Here is a 23,576-nt window from a genome sequence, read left to right on the forward strand (position 1 = left end):
CAATGCCATTCCCATCAAGCTACCAATGACTTTCTTCACAGAATTGGAAAAAACTACTTTAAAGTTCATATGGAACCAAAAAAGAGCCCACATTGCCAAGACAATCCTAAGCCAAAAGAACAAACCTGGAGGCATCATGCTACCTGACTTCAAACTATACTACAATGTTGGGTACAAGCCCCCCAAAATCTGGCCATAAACTGGCCCCAAAACTGGCTATAATCAAAATCTCTGCAGCACTGTGACATGTTCATGATGGCCATAACGCCCATGCTGGAAGGTTGTGGGTTTACTGGAATGAGGGCAAGGAACACCTGGCCCGCCCAGGGCAGAAAACTGTTCAAAGGCATTCTTAAGCCACAAACAATAGCATGAGCGATCTGTGCTTTAAGGACATGCTCCTGCTGCAGTTAACTAGCCCAACCTATTCCTTTAATTCGGCCCATTCCTTCATTTCCCATAAGGGATATTTTTAGTTAATTTAATATCTATAGAAACAATGCTAATGACTGGCTTACTGTTAATAAATACGTAGGTAAATCTCTGTTCGGGGCTCTCAGCTCTGAAAGCTGTGAGACCCCTGATTTCCCACTTCACACCTCTATATTCCTGTGTGTGTCTTTAATTCCTCTAGTGCGGCTGGGTTAGGGTCTCCCTGACCAAGATGGTCTCAGCACTAAAAGGCTACAGTAACCAAAACAGCATGGTACTGGTACCAAAACAGATACATAGACCAATAGAACAGAACAGAGGCTTCAGAAATAATGCCACACATCTACAACCATCTGATCTTTAACAAACCTGACAAAAACGAGAAATGGGGAAAGGATTCCCTATTTAATAAATGGTGCTGGGAAAACTGGCTAGCCATATATAGAAAGCTAAAACTGGATCCCTTCCTTACACCTTATACAAAAATTAATTCAAGATGGATTAAAGACTTAAATGTTAGACCTAAAACCATAGAAACCCTAGAAGAAAACCCTAGGCAATACCATTCAGGACATAGGCATGGGCAAGGACTTCATGACTAAAACACCAAAAGCAATGGCAACAAAAGCCAGAATAGACAAATGGGATCTAATTAAACTAAAGAGCTTCTGCATGGCAAAAGAAACTACCATCATAGTCAACAGTCAACCTACAGAATGGGAGAAAACTTCTGCAATCTACCCATCTGACAAAGGGCTAATATCCAGAATCTACAAAGAACTTAAGCAAAGTTACAAGAAAAAAACAACCCCATCAAAAGGTGGGGAAAAGGATATGAACAGAAACTTCTCAAAAGAAGACATTTATGTGGCCAACAAACATATGAAAAAATGCTCATCATCACTGATCATTAGAGAAATGCAAATCAAAGCCACAATGAGATACCATTTCACACCAGTTAGAATGGCAATCATTAAAAAGTGAAGAAACAACAGGTGCTGGAGAGGATGTGGAGAAATAGGAACGCTTTTACACTGTTGGTGGGAGTGTAAATTGGTTCAACCATTGTGGAAGACAGTGTGGCAATTCCTCAAGGATCTAGAACTATAATTACCATTTGACCCAGAAATCCCATTACTGGGTATACACCCAAAGGATTATAAATCATGCTCCTTTAAGACACATGCACATGTATGTTTATGGTGGCACTATTCACAACAGCAAAGACTTGGAACCAACCCAAATGCCATCAATGATAGACTGGATTAAGAAAATGTGGCACATATACACCATGGAATACTACGCAGCCATAAGAAAGGATGAGTTCATGTCCTTTGCAGGGACATGGATGAAGCTGGAAACCATCATTCTCAGCAAACTATCACAAGGACAGAAAACCAAACACCACATGTTCTCACTCATAGGTGGGAACTGAACAATGAGATTACTTTGACACAGGGCAGGGAACATCACACACTGGGGCATGTTGGGGGGTTGGGGCCTGGCAGAGGGATAGCATTACAAGAAATACCTAATGTAAATGATGAGTTGATTGGTGCAGCAAACCAACATGGCACATGTATACCTATGTATCAAACCTGCACGTTGTGCACATGTACCCTAGAACTTGAAGCATAATCAAAAAAAAAAAAGAAGACTCAATGAACAGTTGCCTACAAGAAACAGACTTCACCTATAAAGACACACACAGACCAAAAATAAAGGGATGAATAAAGATATTCTATGCCAATAGAAACCAAAAAAGGGCAGAAGTAACTATACTTACATGAGACAAAATAGATTTCAAGACAAGAACTATAAAAAGATACAAATAACGTCATTATATAATTATAAAATGGTCAATTCAGCAAGAGGATATAACAGTTATAAATATATATGCATCCAATACTGGAGTACCCATATATGTACAGGAAATATTATTAGAGTCAAAGTGAGAGATAGCCCCCAATACAATAATACCTGGAGACTTTAACACTATACTCTCAGCATTGAACAGATCATCCAGGCAGAAAATCGACATAGAAACATCAGACTTAGCTGACTCTAGTCTAGTAGCACTGCCTAGGGGTCATCACAGCTCTGCAAGGAGCAGCAAAAGAAAAATAAAAAAAAGAAAAGAAACATCAGACTTCATCTGTATTGTAGACCAAATGGACCTAATCGATATCTACAGAACATTTCATCTAACAGCTGCAGAATACGGCTTCTTCTCCTCAGTACATGAATCATTCTCAAGGATAGAACATATGTTAGATCACAAAACAAGTCTTAAAACATTCAAAAAACCTGAAATTATACCAAGTTTCTTCTCTGACCACAATGGAAGAAAACTAGACATCAATAACAAGAGGAATTTTTGGAAACTATACAAACACATGGAAATTAAACAATATGCTTCTGAATAAACAGTGGGTCAATGAAGAAATTAAGAAGGAAATTGAAAAAAATTTTGAAACAAATGATAATGGAAACACAATATACCAATACCTCTGGGATACAGCAAAAGCAGTACTAAGACGGAAGTTTATAGCTATCGGTCCCTACACCAAAAAAGAGGAAAAACTTCAAGTAGACAATCTAATGATCCATCTTAAAGAACTACAAAAGCAAGAGCAAAGTAAGCCCAAAAGTAGTAGAAGAAAAGAAATAATAAAGATGAGTGCAGAAATAAATAAAATAGAAACAAAGAATACAAAAGATAAATGAAATCAAAAGTTGGCTTTTTGAAAAGATGAACAAAATCAACAAACCTTTATCCAGACTAAGAAAAAGAGAGAAGACCCAAGCAAACAAAATCAGAGATGAAAAAGGAGGAATTATAATACAACTGATACTGCAGAAATTAAAAGGATCTTTAGAAGCTACTATGAGCAGCTGTATTTCAATAGATTGGAAAACTTAGAAGAAATGGATAAATTTCTAGACATATATAACTGTTTGGAGGTTCCTCCAGAAACTAAAAATATAGCTACCATATGATCCAGCAATCCCACTGCTGGGTATATATCCAAAAGAAAGGAAATCAGTATATCAAACAGATATCTGCAGTTCCATGTTTATTGCAGCACTATTTACAACAGCGAAGATTTAGAAGCAACCTAAATGTCCATCAACAGTTGAATGGATAAAGAAAATGTGGGACATATACACAATGGAGTACTATTCAGCCACAAAAAAAGAATGAGATCCTGTCAGTTTCATGTATGGAACTGGAGGTCATTATATTAAGTGATATAAGACAGGCACAGAAAGACAAATCTCACATGTTCTCACTTATTTGTGGGAGTTAACAATTAAAATAACTGAACTCATGGTGATAAAGAGAGCAGAATGGTAGTTACTAGAGGCTAGGAAGGGTGGTGGTGGTGGGTGGTGGGGGATGGTTAATGAGTACAAAAATACAGTTAGACAGAATGTATATGATCCAGTATTTGATAGCACAACTAGGTGACTAGAGTTAAGTCAAGAATAATATATTGTGCATTTAAAAATAACTAAAATAGTAGAATTGGACTGTTTGTAATACAAAGAAAGGATAAATGCTTTATGTGACCCATTTACCCTCATGTGATTACTATGCATTGCATATCTGTATCAAAATACCTCATGTACCCAATAAATATATACACCTACTATGTACCCACAATAGTTAATAAGACATTAAGAAAAAAGAGCAATTGACTGAGAGGAAAGGCAAAGATGACCCAAAATATACAAAGTGGAAATTCCCAAAGACTGGAGAAAAAAAAACAGAATACTAGATGCCCGGTATGGTGGCACATGCCTATAATCCCAGCCCTTTGGAGGCTGAGGCAGGCGGATCACTTGAGGCCATGAGTTCAAGACCAGCCTGGGAAACATAGCAAGACTCCATTGCTGTTAGAAAAAAGAAAGAAAGGGAGAAAAGGAGAAAAGGAGAAAGGGAGAAAGAGAGAAAGTGCGGGGCAGGGGGAGAGAAGGAAGGAAGGAAGGAAGGAGAGAAAGAAGGGGGGAGGGGAGAAGGAGGGGAGAGGGAGGGAAGAGGAGGAGAAAGGAGAGGAGGGGAGGGGAGGGGAGGGAAGAAGACAGGCAATAATTCAAGAGTACTGTCCTAAAATTGAGAGGATAAAAAAAGACTCCTAAAACTGACAGGGGAAAAAAAGACCGGAAGCTACATATTAAAAAGATATACTATGATGAAGACTACAAAACTGATGAAAAAATTAAAGAACAATAAAGAGATATCTCAAACTTATGGACAGGAAGCTTCAATATCATTAAGATGTCAGTTTTTTTCCAACTTGATCTTTGGATTTAACATAATCCCAGCCAACCCAGCAAGCTCTTTTGTGGATACAGACATAATAACTCTAAAGTTTATATGGATATACAAAAGACCCAGAATAGCCAATACATAATTGAAGGAGAACAAAGTTGGGGGACTGACACTATGTGACTTCAAGAAATACTATAAAGCTACAGTAATCAGGATACTGGGGTACTGGCAAAAGAACAGGAAAAAAGTTGAATGGAATGGATACAGAGTTCAGAAATGGCCCCATACAGATATAGTCAACTGATCTTTGGCAAAGGAGCAAAGTTAATTCATCGAAGAAGGAATAGTATTTACAATAAGTGGTGCTAAAAAAACACTGTACATCTACTTACGAAAAAAATGTATCTAGACACAGACCTTATAACTCTTCAAAAATATTTACTCCAAATAAATCACATAACTAAATATAAAATGCAAAACTAGGCCGGGTGCAGTGGCTCACACCAGTAATCCCAGCACTTTGGGAGGCTGAAGCGGATGGTTCACTTGACCTCAGAAGTTTGAGACCAGCCTAAGCAACACGGAGAAACACCATCTCTACAAAACATACAAAAATTAGCCAGGCACAATGATGCACACTGGTGGTCCCAGCTACTTGGGGTTTGAGGTGGGAGGATCACATGGGCAAACCCTCTCTCTACTAAAAATACAAAAATTAGCCAGGCATGGTGGTGCATACCTGTTGTCCTAGCTATTCAGGAAGTTAAGGTGGAAGGATCACCTGGGCCCAGGGAGGTTGAGGCTGCAGTGAGCCATGTTGCAACACTGCACTCCAGCCTGGGCAACACAGTGAGACCCCATCTCAAAAAAAAAAAAAAAAAGACAATGTCAAGAGAACATGAAGAAAAGCCACAGACTAGGAGAAAATACAGGTTGACTATCTCTAATCCAAAATGCTCCAAAATATGAACCTTTTGGAACATTGTTATAATGCCCAAAGGAATGTTCATTGGAGCATTTCAGATTTTGGATTTACGGATTAGAGATACTCAACTGGTATAATGCAAACAGTCCAAAATCTGAAAAAAAAAACCCAATCCAAAACACTTCTGATCCCAAGCATTTCAGATAAGAGATACTCAATCCGTATTTGCAAAAGACATATTTGATAAAGGACCATTAACCAAAATATACTAAGAATTCTTAAACTCAACAATAAGAAAATAAAGTACCCAATTTAAAAATGGGTGAAAGATCTCAACAGGCAACTCACTAAGGTATACAGGTGGCAAAGCAGCATATAGTAAGAATCATATGAAAAGAGGTTCAACATCATATGTTATTAGGAGATTGCAAATAAAAACAACAACAAGATACCACTACACAGCAACTAAAATAACCAAAATCCAAAACACTGACAACACCAAATGCTGGAGAGGACATGGAGTAAAAGGAACTCTCATTCATACACTGCAAAATGGTACAGACACTTTGGGAGACTGGTGGTTTCTTACAAAACTAAACATACTCTTACTAGACAATCCAGCAACTGTATTCCTCTGTATTCACCCAAATGAATTGAAAACTTAAGTCCACACAAAAACCTGCTCATAGATGTTTATATCATCTTTATTCATAATTGCTATCACTTGGAAGCAATCACGATGTCTTTCAGTACATCTTGAAAGTGAATAAATAAACTGTGGCACATCCATACAATGTAATATTCTGCGCTAAAAAGTAATGAGCTATTGAGACACAAAAAGATTACAGAGGAACCTTAAGTGTATATTACTAAGTGAAACCATCCAATCTGAAAAGAGTACATACTGTATGAGTCCAATTACATGACATTCTGGAAAAGACAAAACTATGGAGATAGTAAAATAATCAGTGGTTGCCAGGGTTTGGAAGAAAGGGAGGGATAATATAAGCAGAGCACAGGGGATTCTTGGGGCAGCAAATTCTTGTGTAATAATAGTGGTTACATAGCATTATACATTTGTCAAAACCCAGGGCAATTAAAGCACCAAGAGTAAATTTTAATGTAAACTATACACTTTGGTGATAATGATGTGTCAACATTGGTCTATTGATTAAAACAAACGTACCTCTCTGGTGTGGGCTATTGATGGTGGGGGAGGCTGTGTGTGTATGGGGGAAGGGCATATACAGGAACTCTGTACTTTTCACTCAATTTTGCTACGTGTATTAGTCCGTTTTCATGCTGCTGATAAGGACATGCCTGAGGCTGGGAAATTCATAAAAGAAAGCGGTACAACTGAACTCACAGTTCCACATGGCTGGGGAGGCGTCACGATCATGGCAGAAGGCAAGGAGGAGCAAGTCACATCTTACATGGATGGTGGCAGGTTAAAAAAAAAAAAAGCTTGTGCAGAGAAACTCTCATTTTTTAAAAACCATCAGATCTCGTGAGATCCATTCACTATTACGAGAATATCATGGGAAAGACCTGCCCCCATAATTCAGGCATCTCCCACCAGGTTCCTCTCATAACACGTGGGAATCATGGGAGCTATAAGATGAGATTTGGGTGGGGACACAGAGCCAAACCATATCACTATGTATCCAAAACTCCTATAAGAAAAGGTCTATTAAACAAACAAAAAAAACCCACTATGTACTGTACTAGAAAAATAAACTCAATGCCAAAATATATTTTAAGAAAATGATTGGACTTTAAGTAAAAAGAAAGATATACTCTGAGCATCCAAGCAAAAAGACCAAATCACTTATAAGGTAAAGAAAATAAAACTGCCATCAGACTTTCTGCAGCAATGTTTTATGCCAGAATATAATTAAACTATATATTAAAGACAGTCAAGGAAAAAAAAGTAAGCCAAGGATTTTACATGCAGCCAAATCGACCCTCACAAATAAAGTCATAAGACAAACTGTTATGAAAATGGAAAATCTATGAGTGTAGTGTTCACACAAGTCCTTCCTAAGGAATCTATTACAAAAAGAGTTTCAAGCAATCAGAATGACTAAGGAGACACTGACATAAGAATTGGAAGACTAAAATAAAGAACACCAAGGATCTTTTATGTTTCTCATTTAATACACAAAACAAGCCTTGATAGTAGTGTTTCCATTCTACACATGGAGGAAATGAATGCCAAAGTCAGAGGAACTTATCCATTGTTGCTGAGCAAGTAATAAAGCCAGGATTGGAACCAAAGCCCATTCTCTTTCTACCACATGAAGCTACCTCCACATACACATGAGCTAAACCTTTGTCTTTGCATATACTAGAATAGCATACTGCCTGGAATTTCATTCTCCCCCTTATCTACCTTATGAGTTATTTGAAAAACAATCTTTGATACACCCAAAAATTGCTTATTCTCTGTGGCTTTCCCTTACCTAAAAGGGCCATATATATTGTCATTAATAAAACCGTATGGTACTGATAAAGAAAAGCCACCTCATCTGTGGTCCCAAAACTGCTTATTGTCTTGTGGCTCTCCCTTACCCAAAAGGGCCATATGTGTTATCATTAATAAAGGCATATAGTACTGATAAAGTAAAGCTACCTCAGCTGTGGCCGCAGAGCATTTCACAAAAAACATCTGTAACACAGATTTTGCCACATGTGATTTCGATGATGGTAAAAACTGTCACTTCTTTGGCTTAAAATCCCAATACAGAGCATATTCTTCCCAGTAAATGTATTTGGGAGAAAAAGAAGAGGGGAGATAACAGGTCTGGGATGTCTTTCTTGACTATACAAGATAAAGTTAATTACCTAAATATCTCTGCATTAATTCTGAACTTTGTGGGTACTTTTTATTCTTGTCCTTTTCACGCAATGTTATTATTTGTTTTCATTTTTGTCTGTCCTCTGAGAGCAAGAATGATCTTTTTTTCCTTTATAGCTTACCATCTAACATATAATAGTGAACACAACTAAGAAGTGTTCAATAAATAGTTGGTGACTGAATGAAGAGAAATCATAAGTTATTTCTCAGTTCCAATTCTGTGCAAATGGATTATGATGAATACGAAGAATGAAAGCCCAATTTTTATGCGGTTTAAGTATTACTGTACACCAAATTGCATATATTTAATTAATAAAACGACATCAAGGAATCAGAATCTAATATTTTAAAAGTAATAGTGTTAATGAGCATCAGCATATTATAGAGCTTTTAGACTACAAAAAAAATCTGAATTTTTTTCTCATTTTTTTCCAGAGAGTTTTGCACTGCAGAGTAAAATTATTATTATTATTTAAAAAAATGTTAGAGCCTGAAGGCATTTTTGTCTTGAATAAAGCCTGGAACATTTTGAAAAAGTTACTAGTATTTTTAATTAGTATTTGGCATACAACTGCAAAATTTCCTTATATGAGAATGTGAACAAATTAATTACAAACATATACACTTTTTGCCTTTTTTGCAGATGACTGTATTTCTCAATTCAAATTGTTTTCTCCCTTTAATATTAAAGAAAATAACAGAATTATTAGCAGCCTACTTTTGCCATTTCAGTAACATGTGTATAGGTTCGTTTCACTGGCTAATTCCATTATTGAACATATCAGCAGTGTCATCTCCTAGGTTATTTTTCCACCAGCTCTGGATATGAGTGTCACTAGAAGCTTTTTAAGGGGAGACAGAGAAAAAGAGTGAGAGAGATAGAGAAGGAAAAAGAACACAAAAGTGCAACACACACTCCTGCCTAGACACAACTTCTAAAAAGAGGAAAAGTACACTCCACTTCCTCATCATTTAAACAAGCTGTTTAATCTGAAAATACCTGTTTCATACATAGCCACTCTTCTTGATGCATAGCTGTAATACCAAAGGCCACAAAACTTATGGATCAGGAATATTTCCTCCTGCCTCATGACAACTCTCCTTCCCCAGTCCTAGAATTAATAATGTCTGTCATACCTACTAAAATACCTTTTAGTCAATCTCATTCTTGAATCCATATCAAAACAGACACAATTCATCTCAGTGCATTTCTCCTATATCTGTTTTCATGTAAAACATCATTCTGACTTTTCCAACTCCACCCATACACACTTCATTTTCCTTTTAGATCCCATCCAGGTCTATCAGGTCAAAACTCAAGACTACCATTTGGACAATCCCCCTAGAAAACACAATCATTCTCAATCTAATTAAAAAATTATTATAAGAGAAAGATAATTAAAAATAATTCACTTAAAATGGAAACATCTTAAAATACATAATTAGATTTTTAATAATATTACTTCTAGTATAGAAAAACTACCAGTTTCTCCTTACCACTTCTAATAGTTGTATTTTCTAATAGTTCTGTCTGAAGTTGTAGTTCAGCTTCTCCAAGTATCTTTAGAACAGAATCTGTCGGACTTTTCCCCCAGGCTCTTCTTGGAGATCCATTAGGACCTAATTTAATAACTTCTCCCACTGTATGTCCTATAAGAAAAATATACAAAGAAACAATTTTCAATAACAGTATAATAATACTGCATGGTAAGGCAGATTTTGAGTCTTTTATCCAATTGAGTGGTTCATGAGAAAAAAAGGTTATATCACAAAGACTTTCAGGGAAAGAATGATGAATAATGGCAAGAACAGAAGCAAATGAAACTAGCAATAAAAATATATCTACAATTGCCTTGTAGAATATGAATTAAATTCTAGTTTTGGGGAATATAAAAATAGGAAAAAACCATAAATTAATACAGACTGAGTATCTCTTATCTGAAATGCTTGGGGCCAGAAGTGTTTTGGATTTTGAATTTTTTTCAGACTTTGAAATATGTGCATATACATAACGAGAATCTTGTTGATGGGACCAAAGTCTAAACATGAAATTCATTTGTTTGTTTTTTAAGAGATAGAGTCTCACTATGTTGCCCAGGCTAGTCTTGGACTCCTGGGCTCAAGTGACCCTCCCACCTTGGCTTCCCAAAGTGCTGGGATTATAGGTGTGAACCACCACAAAGGGCCTCATTTATGTTTTACATCCATCTTATACACATAGACTTGAGGTAATTTTATATAATATTTTAAACAATTTTGTGAACAAAACGAAGTTCATATACATAGAACTATCAGAAAGCAATAGTGTCACTGTCTTGGCCACCCATGTGGGCCCTCTATGGTTGTTTGGCATCACCATCATTCCTGACTGTGAGTTTATATGCTGCTAATAAGCAATCATTTTCTTACACTTGTTCACACAAAAATACTTCGTAGTTAAAAAAAAAGAGAGACATACCATTACAGTGAAAAAATGTGTTTAAGATAACTAAGCAGCACAGTATTATCACCAGAATACCTGAGAGCTGTTAAGCAACCGCAGGCTTTCAGTCTCCACCCACGAAACTGGATTTTGATTAAAAGGTTACTCTATGCTGTCTTTCATTTTATGGGCAAAAAGAAATATCAGAAGCAGCTGAGGGATCAGAAAGGGATCTGAAGGGATGAGAAGGTATTCTATCAGATAGCTTTTTAAAATGGCTGGAGGGTCTTTTTGTCCTTGGGGATGCTGAATAAACCATGTGTTGTGTACCTTCACTTTGACTTTGACACATCACATGGGGTCAGATGTGGGGGTGTCACACTGGTACTCAAAAGTTTCAGATTTTGGGGCATTTTGGATTTCAGATTTTGGATTAGAAATGCTCAACCTGTATTATGTTTCTATAAAATCTTTATGTGAAAAAATAGAAAAAACTAAGATAAGTAAATACAATTGGGGGGAATATAAAAATAGAAGAAACAAATTAGTATTTCATTTCTATATATTAAACAGAAAAAATAGAAAACAAATCTTAAAATAAACATACATATGGATTAAAAAGCAGAGAAAAGTATTTCTAAGAAAATTTGTCCTGCTTTATTTATCATAAGTAGGCAAATAACTGCTACTTCCTTATTGACAATAATAATTTGGGGTAAACCATTTTAATAACATTTATCAAAGCAATATATAAAAATTATATACTGAAGTTTGAGTCTTTAGAATATTTGGTAATAATATATGAAGTATACAGGTACCTAGTAGTAACATACAGGATATAATATTATGTATTATGAGGCATAAGGTATATAGACATTCAATGGTAACCTAATACATATTGATACAGTTAATGTACCAGTTCCATGAAAGTACATGCAAATTAGCAGATAATAATTAGTTTCATACAGCCAAAATGATTACCAAGAGGAATTTCTTAAAGGATGGTTAAAATAGAGTAGAGAACCCAGAAATAGACCCATAACTTACAGTCATTTGATGTTTGACAAATATGCCAAAGAAATTCAAAAGGGGAAAAAGTTCTAACAAACAAAACTGGGATAACTAAATGTTCATAAGAGAAACCCTCCTGTCCCCCCCACCACTGGAATTTAACCCCTTCAATGCAGGGAGGGAAAACAGAGGTGGAGTCAATGGTCTCTCTGAGCTGAGGAGGTGGAAATGGGAGTCTAGGGAGGCCAAAGTGGCTAGTGTTTGCAAGATAGGAGTACTGAAGTAATACGTTTCACAGAGAGAGAACTCAGGAAAATTGTAAAAAGCCCCTTTGAGTCTTTACTTGAGTACTGATCAGCATATCAGTACATAATGTATAAAGAAATTTTAGAGAAAGTTTAGAGAAAAGACCACTCAAAAGAAGCAGAGGTAACAATACTTCGAGTTCACACAGTGCCAGAAAGAGTTCCTATTCCCATCAGCCAAAAAAGACTGATTTATAATTCACAAGGCACAAGGCAGATTATTCAGAAAGGTTGTTGATGCAGAAAAGGTAAAAGATTAGCAGTACGCTAATGCACAGTAATACTAATAAATACTAATAATATAGATTGCTGCTTTGTTCCAACTAACAAAGCTTAAAAGCAAGACTTGAAAGAGCCAAGCTATGCACAGGTAACTAAATTGTGTCCAAGAATAAAGGTCAAGAATATTTATAGAAATACAAAAATACATAGCACAAATATTAAAATTCACAACATTTGGACACCCCCAAAAAATTATCAAGCATGCACAGAAACAGAATATTAACTATAAAAAAGGAAGAAAAAAATCAATGAATCCAATCCAACTCTATAATGACAGAGATGATGTAACTAGTAGACAAGGACATTTATAACTGTCATTGTAACTGAATTCCATATGTTCAACAAGCTAGAGAGAAGACTGACCGTGATAGAGGTAAAGAAAACATTAATAAGATCCACACTGAACTTGTCCTAATGAAGTTCATATAAATGAACCTGTCCATTGAACTCGTCCATTCATACTGAAGACAGAAAAAAAAATAGAATAAATAATGGCCACGAGTTTTTCAAGTTTGATGAAAACTATAAACTCATAAATCCAAGATGCTCAACAAAACCCAAGCAAAAGAAACATGACGAAAGTGACATCAAGGCACATCACAATCAAATTCACTGAAACCAAGGCTACAGGGAAAAATCTGAAAAGGAGTCAGAGAAAAAAGACACAGAGGAATAAAACTAAAAATGAGGGTAACAGAAGACCTCATCACAAGTAATGTGCATAAGATGACAGTGGAGCAGCATCATTAAAGTACTAAAAGAAAAAAATTTCAATTTAGAATTCTATGTCTCAGAAAAAATATCTTTGCAAAAGGAAGGCTAAATAAAATAAAAATAAAAACTTTTACAAACATTTGTATGTCTTTAAAATAAAAACTTTTACAGACATACAAATGTTGAAAGAATCACCAGCAGGACTGTACTACAAAAAATCTTAAAGGAAGTCCTTCAGGCAGAAGAAAAATGATACAAAATAGATATCTTCTACACAAAAGAAATGAAAACTACATGGGTAGACACAAAATAGTTTTTTCTCTTATTATTTAAATCTTTTTAAAGAATAAATGACTCTGCTGTATTATGGGATTTATAGCATAAAAAAAAAATAGCACCAAAGGTTGGGAGGGAACAAATGTAAGTACAGGTGACCCTCAAACAAAGTTCTGAGATGCCAGGGTTCACTTATAAACAAATTTTCTTCCACCTATGCCACCCCTCAGACGCCAAGACCAACCCCCCAACTTCCTCCTCTTCAGCCTACTCAATGTGAAGATGATGCGGATGAAGGCTTTTATGATGATCCATTTCCACTTAATAGTAAATATATTTTCTCATTCTTATCATTCTCTTAGTAACATTTTCTTTTCTCTTGATTCCTATTATGAGAATATAGTATATAATACGTATAACATGTAAAATATGTGTTAATTGGCTTTATGTTATTGATAAGGCTTCTGGTCAACAGTAGGCTATTACTAGTTAAATTTTGGGGGAGTTAAGAGTTACACACAGATTTTTGACTACACGGGGGATTCAACACCCCCAACCCCCGTATTATTCAAGGGTCAACTGTATATTATTGTAATAATCTTATACCATATATGAAGTATAACTCAATTGAAGATAGGCTGTGCTAAGTTAATACACTGTGCTACAATAATACACTATAAACTCTGAAGCAAACACTGAAATAACAATGAGCTATAGCTAATAATTCAACAACAGAGGTAAAATGGAATAATAAAAAATAACCCCAAATAATGCAAAACAGGAGGAAAAAGGAAAGAAAGCATAGATGAGGCAAACAAAAAACAAATAGAAAAATGGTACACAGACAGTCCCTGACTTATGATGGTTCAACTTAAGATTTTTCAACTTTACAATGGGTTTATTAGACTGTAATCCCATTGTAAATTGAGGAGCATCTGGATTTAAATCCAATCACATTAATAATCACATTAAATGTAAATGATCTAAACATACCAGTTAAAGGTTATGATTTTTACCAGTTAAAGATTTTTCAACTTTACAATGGGTTTATTAGACTGCAATCCCATTGTAAATTGAGGAGCTCTGGATTTAAATCCAATCACATTAATAATCACATTAAATGTAAATGATCTAAACATACCAGTTAAAAGTTATTTTAAAGGATTAAAAATGAATTTAACAATATGCTGCCCATAAGAAACCCATGTTAAATATAAAGACACATACAGATTAAGAGGAAAAAAAAGGATAAAGATATACCAGGTTAACACTGAGCAAAACAAAGTAGGAGTGACTATATCAATATCAAACAAAGAAAACTTTTAATAAAGCAAAGATTTTTTTAAAAAGAACAAGCTATTAATAATTACAACACAGATGAATCTCAAAAATCATTATGCTTTCAGCCAGAGGTGAGAGATTAGGGAAAAATAATCATTATGCTTGAGTGAAAGAAGCCAGACATAAAAGAATACAAACGATTAGAGTCTGTTTATATGATATTCTAGAACAGGAACATTTAATCTAAGGTAGAAAAAAAATTCAGAAAAAGTTGCCCCTGGGAGGATAAGAACAGAGAACGATTAGGCAGGGGCAAACTTTCTGGGGTGATGTTAATGTTCTGTATCTTGATGGGGGTTCTTATTTTGTAGCTCCCAGCATTTGTTAAAAACCAGTAAATATATATTTGTAATGTGTGCATTTCATTGCATGTAAATTTAACATAAATGAAAAAACAAACATTGAACTCTAATAAATAATTACATGCTGTGAAATACTTAGGGCAAGGTATACCAATGTCTGCAATTTACTCTGAATTGCATGAAACAATGACAAACCAATTGATGGTTTTGCTATCAGGATGATGCTGGTCTCATAAAATTAGTTAGGGAGGAGTCCCTCTTTTTCTGTTGTTTGGAATAGTTTCAGAAGGAATGGTACCAGCTCCTCTGTACCTCTGGTAGAATTCGGCTGTGAATCTGTCTGGTCCTGGGCTTTTTTTGGTTGGTAGGCTATTAATTACTGCCTGAATTTCAGAACTTGTTATTGGTCTATTTTCAGGGATTCGACTTCTTCCTAGTTTAGTCTTGGGAGGGTGTATATGTCCAGGAATGTATCTATTTCTTCTAGATTTACTAGTTTATTTGCATAGAGGTGTTTATAGTATTCTCTGATGGTAGTCTGTATTTCTGTGGGATCAGTGGTGATATCCCCTTTATCATTTTTTATTGTGTCTATTTGATTCTTCTTTTCTTCTTTATTAGTCTGGCTAGCCGTCTATCTATTTTGTTAATCTTTTCAAAAAACCAGCTCCTGGATTCACTGATTTTTTTTTGAAGGGCTTTTCATGTCTCTATCTTCTTTCAGTTCTGCTCTGATCTTAGTTATTTCTTGTCTTCTGCTAGCTTTTGAATTTGTTTGCTCTTGCTTCTCTAGTTCTTTTAATTGTGATATTAGGGTGTCAATTTTAGGTCTTTCCCATTTTCTCCTGTGGGCATTTAGTGCTATAAATTTCCCTCTAAACACTGCTTTAGCTGTGTCCCAGAGATTCTGGTACAGTGTGTCTTTATTCTCATTGGTTTCAAAGAACTTATTTATTTCTGCCTTAATTTCATTATTTACCCAGTAGTCATTCAGGAGCAGGTTGTTCAGTTTCCATGTAGTTGTGAGGTTTTGAGGGAGTTTCTTAATCCTCAGTTCTAATTTGATTGCACTGTGGTCTGAGAGACCGTTTGTTATGATTTCCATTCTTTTGCATTTGCTGAGGAGTGTTTTACTTCCAATTATGTGGTCAATTTTAGAATAAGTGCTATGTGGTGCTGAGAAGAATATACATTCTGTTAATTTGGGGTGGAGAGTTCTGTAGATGTCTATTAGGTCTGCTTGGTGCAGAGCTGAGTTCAAGTCCTGAATATCCTTGTTAATTTTCTGTCTTGTTGATATGTCTAATATTGACAGTGGGGTGTTAAATCTCCCACTATTATTATGTGGGAGTCTAAGTCTCCTTGTAGGTCTCTAAGAACTTGCTTTATGAATCTGGGTGCTCTTGTATTGGGTGCATATATATTTAGGATAGTTAGAGCTTCTCGTTGCATTGATCCCTTTACCATTATGTAATGCCATTCTTTGTCTTTTTTGATCTTTGTTGCTTTAAAGTCTGTTTTATCAGAGACTAGGATTGCAACCCCTGCTTTTTTTTTTTTTTTTTGCTTTTCATTTGCTTGGTAAATATTCCTCCATCGCTTTATTTTGAGCCTATGTGTGTCCTTGAATATGAAATGGGTCTCCTTAATACAGCACACTGATGAGTCTTGACTCTTTATCCAATTTGCCAGTCTGGGTCTTTTAATTGGGGCATTTAGCCCATTTACATTTAAGGTTAATATTGATATGTGTGAATTTGATCCTGTCATATGATGCTAGCTGGTTACTCTGCCCATTAGTTAGATGCAGTTTCTTCATAGTGTCAATGGTCTTTACATTTTGGTATGCTTTTGCAGCGGCTGGTACTGGTTTTTCCTTTCCAAGTTTAGTGCTTCCTTCATGAGCTCTTATAAGGCAGGCCTGGTGGTAACAAAATCCCTTAGCATTTGCTTGTCTGTAAAGGATTTTTTCACTTATGAAGCTTAGTTTGACTGCATATGAAATTCTGGGTTGAAATTCTTTTCTTTAAGAATGTTGAATATTGGCCCCCACTCTATTCTGGCTTGTAGGGTTTTTGCAGAGAGATCTGCTGTTAGTTCAATGGGCGTCCCTTTGGGGGTAATCCAACCTTTCTCTTTGGCTGCCCTTAACATTTTTTCCTTCATTTCAACCTTGGGAATCTGACGATTATGTGTCTTGGGGTTGCTCTTCGCAAGGAGTATCTTTGTGGCGTTCTCTGTATTTCCTGAATTTGAATGTTGGTCTGCCTTGCTAGGTTGGGGAAGTTCTCCTGGATAATACCTTCAAGTGTGTTTTCCAACTTGGTTCCATTCTCCCCGTCACTTTCAGGTACACCAATCAAACATAGATTTGGTCTTTTCACATAGTCCCATATTTCTCGAAGGGTCTGTTGTTTGTTCCTTTTCATTCTTTTTTCTCTAATCTTGTCTTCACTCTTTATTTCATTAGGTTGATCTTCAATCCCTGATATCCTTTATTCCACTTGATTGATTTGGCTATTGATACTTGTGTATGCTTCACAAAGTTCTCTTGCTGTGTTTTTCAGCTCCATCAGGTAATTTATGTTGTTCTCATAACTGGTTATTCTAGTGATAGTTCCTGTAACTTTTTATCAAGGTTCTTAGCTTCCTTGCATTGGGTTAAAACACACTCCTTTAGCTTGGAGAGTTTGTTATTACCCACCTTCTGAAGCCTACTTCTGTCAATTCATCAAACTCATTCTCCGTCCAGTTTTGTTCCCTTACTGGCAAGGAGTTGTGATACTTTGGAGGAGAAGAGGCATTCTGGTTTTGGGAATTTTCAGCCTTTTTGCGTTGGTTTTTCCTCATCTTCGTGAATTTATCTACCTTTGGTCTTTGATGTTGGTGACCTTTGGATGGGGTTTTTGCTTGGGTGTCCTTTTTGTTGATGTTGATGCTATTGCTTTCTGGTTGTTAGTTTTCCTTCTAACAGTCAGGCCCCTCTTCTGCAGGTCTGCTGGAATTTACTGAAGTTCCATTCCAGACCCTGTTTGCCTGGGTATCTCCAGTGGAGGCTGCAGAACAGCAAATATTGCTGCCTGATCCTTCCTCTGGAAGCTTCGTCGCAGAGAGGCACCCGCCAGATGCCAGCTGAAGTTCTCCTGTTTGAGGTGTCTGTCGTCCCCTGCTGGGAGGTGTCTCCCAGTCAGGAGGCACGGGGGTCAAGAATCCACTGGAAGAGGCAGTCTGTCCCTTAGCAGATCTTGAGCGCTGTGGTGAGAGATCTGTTCCTCTCTTCAGAGCCAGCAGGCAGGAAAGTTTAAGTCTGTTGAAGCTGTGCCCACAGCTGCCCCTTCCCCCAGGTGCTCTGTCCCAGGGACATGGGAGTTTTTTCTATAAGCTCCTGACTGGGGCTGCTACCTTTCTTTCAGAGATGCCCTGCCCAGAGAGGAGGAATCTAGAGATGCCTCTCTAGATTCTGGCTACAGCGGCTTTGCCATGCTGTGTTGGGTTCTGCACCCAGTTCAAACTTTCTGTCAGCTTTGTTTACAAAGCCTCAGTAATGGCAGATGCCCCTCCCCACACCAAGCTTGAGCATCCCAGGTCAACTTCAGACTGCTGTGCAGGCAGCGAGAGTTTCAAGCCAGTGGATCTTAGCTTGTGGGGCTCCGTGGGGGTGGGATCCGCTGAGCAATACCACTCGGGTCCCTGGCTTCAGCTCCCTTTCCAGAGGAGTGAACAGTTCTGTCTTGCTGGCATTCCAGGTGCCACTGAGGTACAAAAAACAAAAAAAACAAAAAAAAACAAAAAACTCCTGCAGCCAGCTCGGTGTCTCCCCAAACGGCCATCCAGTTTTATGCTTGATACCCAGGGCCCTGGTTGTATAGGCACCCAAGGGAATCTTTTGGTCTGTGGGTTGTGAAAACCATCGGAAAAGCGTAGTATGTGGGTCAGATAGCACCGTCCCTCACGGCACAGTCCTTCATGGCTTGCCTTGGCTAGAGGAGGGAGTTCCTCAACCCCTTGCGCTTCCCAGGTGAGGCAACGCCCCACCCTGCTTCTGCTCTCCCTCTGTGGGCTGCACCCACTGTCTAACCAGTCCCAATGAGATGAACTGGGTACCTTAGTTGGAAATGCAGAAATCACCTGCCTTCTGCATTGGTCTCACTGGGAACTGCAGACCAGAGCTGTTCTTATTTGGCCATCCTGACACTTTCCCCCAACTTACTTGTATCTTTCTACCTTTGCCTCCATGCATCCTTTCACAATGGCAATGGTCTATTGCCTCAGAGGTGCTCTCAATCATCTCCAGCCCCACCATCTCAGAGATCTCACAACACCAGTGTCTCTCCTCATTATTTATGTTTTTGTCCTCACATTCATTTATTTAATAACTACTTTTCATGTATAAATTACATGCTACATGACGGAGCATAAACATGCAGTACAAATAAGACAAGCTTTATCAAAATGTTTATATTCTAAAACAGAACACAGGCAAATTATACTTAAACAAATGAAGAAGATAATTACAGTATGTGATTAGTTCTTTAAAAATAATAAATAAAAGAACTCAGAAATAAAAAATCAAATACTGGCCGGGCACAGTAGCTCACACCTGTAATCCCAGCACTTTGGGAGATGGAGGGAGGAGGATTGTATGAGGCCAGGAGTTCAAAAGCAGCCTGGTTAACATAGTGAGTCCACCATCTCTAACAAAAAAGAAAAAAAAAAAATTAGCCGGGCATGGCAGCACGTGCCTGTAGTTCCAGCTACTCTGGAGGCTGAGGCAGGAGGATCATTTGAGCCCAGAAATTTTAAGATACAGTCAGCCATGACTGCAGCACTGTATTCCAGCCTGTCTTGAAAAAAAAAAAAAAAACTGCATATTCTTACAGAATTCTAAGTGGGAGCTAAACAATGGGTAAACATGGACATGGAGGCAAATAATAGACACTGGGGACTCCAAAAGGGGAGAGGCTGGGCAGGGGTGAGGGTTGAAAAATTATCTATTGGGGTACCAATACCAATTACCTATTGGGGTACCATGTTCACTATTTTGAGTGGTAGGTACACTAGAAACCCAATCCTCACCATAATGCAATATATACATGTAACAAACCTGCACATGTACACCCTGAATCTATAGAAATAAAATAGATTTAAATAAATAAATATTTAAAGTACAGAAATAATATTCAATGATTTGAAAATAAGAGAAGGGTCAGGCATGGTGGCTCATGCCTGTAATCCCAGCACTTTGGGGAGCCAAAGTGGGTGGGTCACTTGAGGCCAGGAGTTTGAGACCAGCCTGGGCAACATAGCAAAACACCATCTCTCCAAAAAATACGAAAGAGAGAGAGAGAGAGGTCTACTATTAATAGAGGGGAGAAAAGTGAAGAAAGTGCTTCAAGAAGAGTGTGTATGTGTGAGCACACGTGCGTGTGGGTATGGACAATAATCCAGGATGTCGAAGCTGTAAATACATAAAATAGGGCCTTTAAAACTTACCGACATGAAGGTCTATAGTGACCATGAAAAGAATTGTAATGGAGTGGTAGAGGAAAAAGTCTGGTTGAAGTAGATTAAGGGAGAATAAAGGAGAGGAACTAGAATTGTAAACAGAGAACACTTTTGAAGAATTCTGATATAAAGAGGACTTTTAGAAATGGGGTGATAGCTAAAGAACAGGGACAGAAAAAAAAAGAGAAGCAGCCACATTAAGGACTTGGGAAAGAGGGAAGGGGAAGAGTACGATGGAAAAGAAAGAGCTTGGCATGTTTTAAGAAGTGAAAGGTGAGAAGTAGTTCTAGTGAACTAGTTAGAAGGAAATGGATACAATGAGCAGGCAACGCATAAACCAAGAGAGAGGAGAGACTTGAATCATTAAAAGAACTTTGGACTTTTATTCTAGTTGCAATGAAAACCAATTAGGTTTTAAAATGAGACAGTGATGTGATATACTTTGGTTTTCTAATCAGCATAAAATATTTTCAAGTCTCTTTTTACACAAGGTTACAATGACTCTACATCCCCACCAAGTAATACCATCTTACCTCTCTGTTCTGCTTCGCAGTTCAGCTTCTTGAAAAGGTTCTAAACTCTCTTTTTAAATTTCCTCTCCTATTCACTTCCTAATTCTTGGATTCTATTTCTGTCTCTAGCACTCTAATGACACTGCTTTTACCAAGCTCACATTGCCTCTTCTCTGACGAATCCAGTGTATATTTTTTAGCCTTGAATATGTTACCTCTCTTCCTGAAGTGCTTTCTTCTTTCTTTGGAACCCATACTACAGTCTCCTAATTTTATCTCTGTCTGTTCCTCATTTTCTTTGCAAAGGTCTTCCTCTGATGAACTCTTTGAACAGTTTCACATAAAGCCCCTATAAGTCTGTCTCCTAGTATCTTTTAAATATCTCCTCTTTATTACCTTTCAGTAATTTAGTTAAGGTCATCATTAACTTCTGCCTAGATTAGTGCAATAGCCTCTAAAAACTGGTTTCAAGGATATCTACTTCTTATTAAGATGGTATAGAGTAATTAGAGTTATGCTGCTCCCTAAATAACCAAAACAACTGGACAAAATATGAGACAGCAGTTTCAAGACATTGTACAACAGGTAATAAAGAACATGGGTCCCTGAGAGAGGGAAAAAACAAAAACAAAAACAAATGAGATGATCCCTATGATTGCCCAGCCTTTAGAGTTTTCAGGCTATAGCTAATGGGTCTACCACACTCCCTGAGTTCAGGAGGTAGAGCTGGGATTCCTGGAAGACCAAAGCAACTAGAAAGAGAATTCCAGAGACCTGCAGATGGTAGCCCTGAGTATGAGCAGAGCAAATATATGAGAAAACTACCCAAGTTAGGAAAAAAAGCACCCAAAAAGATTACAGAGAACACAAGACATGAAATAGTGTCTATTCCTACCAGCCAAACTGGAAAACCTCATCATTCCTTCCGTAGAGCACTCAGAAGCATCTTATCTCCTAAATGGGTATAATTAGCATTAGACTAAACATGGCTCTGATCTCACCTCACAAATATTAAAAATAAGACATGAATGAATCAAACTGAGTCCAAGTATTATAACTTAACTGCATTCTAGAATAAATCTCCAGAATAATTACAAAAATAAAAAAATACCTAGCACCCAACAAGGTAAAATGCAAAATGTCTGACATCCAATTAAAAACAACCAAGCCTGCAAAGAAGCAGAAGAATACAACCTGTAACAAGGAGAAAAGGCAATCAATAAAATGGACCCAATAAAATTCTAACATTTGACACAGATGTCAGAATAAGTAAAGACATTAATAAAATTTTCACAACTGTATTCCATATGATCAAAAAAGTTAAGTAGAGACATGGCAGATAGAAAAACAACTCCTTAAACTTCTGGAGGTGAAAACTACAATATCTGAGATGAAAAGTACATTGAATAGAATTAATAGCAGATTGGGTATGGCAGGAAAAAAAGACTATCATCTATTAAAGATAGAGCAATAGAAACTATCCACAATGAAACACAACAAGAATCTAAAAAATTAAAGTAAAAAGAGCACCACTGAGGTATGAGACAGAAAGTAAAACTGGAGTCCCTAAAGGACAGAAGAAGGAGGAGGCATGGAAAAAATATTAGAAGAAATGATGGCTGAAAGTGTTCCAAATGTGACAACCATAAACCCAAAGACACAAGAAGCTCAATGAATCCCAAGGACAGGAAGCATGAAGAAAACTATACCAAGGCACTTTACAATCATATTGCTCAAAACCAGTGATAAAGACAAATCATAAAAGCAGACAGATAGTGTCCCCACCCAAATCTCATCTCAAATTATAACCCTGTGTTGAGGGAGGGAGGTGACTGGATCATGGGGGCTCTTCCAAGGCTGATTTATGGTCTCTTATGTATTCCTGCAGTAGTCTATGATTATTCCTAGCACAGTATTTATCAACTACAATTATCTCTTTACTTGCCTGCCTTTCCACTAGACCTTAAGCTCCCTAAGGGGAGGGACTACATTCTAAACATTATTATATTCCCATTGCTTAAGAGTGTATTACATATGGTAGGTACCCAATAAAGAACTGTTGAATAAATAAGCAAAATAAATGCTATCAAGTCTTTGGGCTTTTTTCCAATGCAAGAAAAAATTCTACAAAAACAGTCTGTGAAAAAAATTACTTAAAATCAGATTTGTTGATGGTCAGACTTGCCCTTCTAGAATGTAAGCTCCACAAGAGCACATATGTTTCTGTTTTGTTCCTATATCTCCAATTCCTAGAACAATGTAAGAAATATAGATTCTCAGTAATTATCACCGAATATATAAATCATTAAGTCAGATTTTCTCAATACTCTCGCTAAATGCCTAAGAGATGTTTCTGAGACACTACCCTGGTTCTCATCAAGAATTATTCATAGTAACAGATTAATTTAACATGGTA

General features: G+C 37.0%; 1 protein-coding gene across 22 annotated transcripts in view; it reads right to left on the bottom strand.

Moving 5' to 3' along the window:
* Positions 1-23,576, bottom strand: part of NEK1 (NIMA related kinase 1) — a 219,775-nt gene that overhangs the window by 60,447 nt on the left and 135,752 nt on the right. For 21 of the 22 annotated variants that reach the window (NR_164630.1, NM_001440625.1, NM_001440624.1 and 18 more), the window contains one exon: positions 9,988-10,140. Coding sequence is in view for 21 of the 22 variants with exons in the window: in NM_001440625.1 (NP_001427554.1) it covers positions 9,988-10,140 (153 nt within the window). In the remaining variant the exon portion in view is untranslated. Of the gene's footprint in view, positions 1-9,987; positions 10,141-23,576 lie in introns of those variants that run through there. The other variant, XM_047415740.1, reaches the window with a different exon arrangement.

Source organism: Homo sapiens, chromosome 4, assembly GCF_000001405.40.
Source record: "Homo sapiens chromosome 4, GRCh38.p14 Primary Assembly".
NCBI classification, from domain to species: domain Eukaryota; kingdom Metazoa; phylum Chordata; class Mammalia; order Primates; family Hominidae; genus Homo; species Homo sapiens.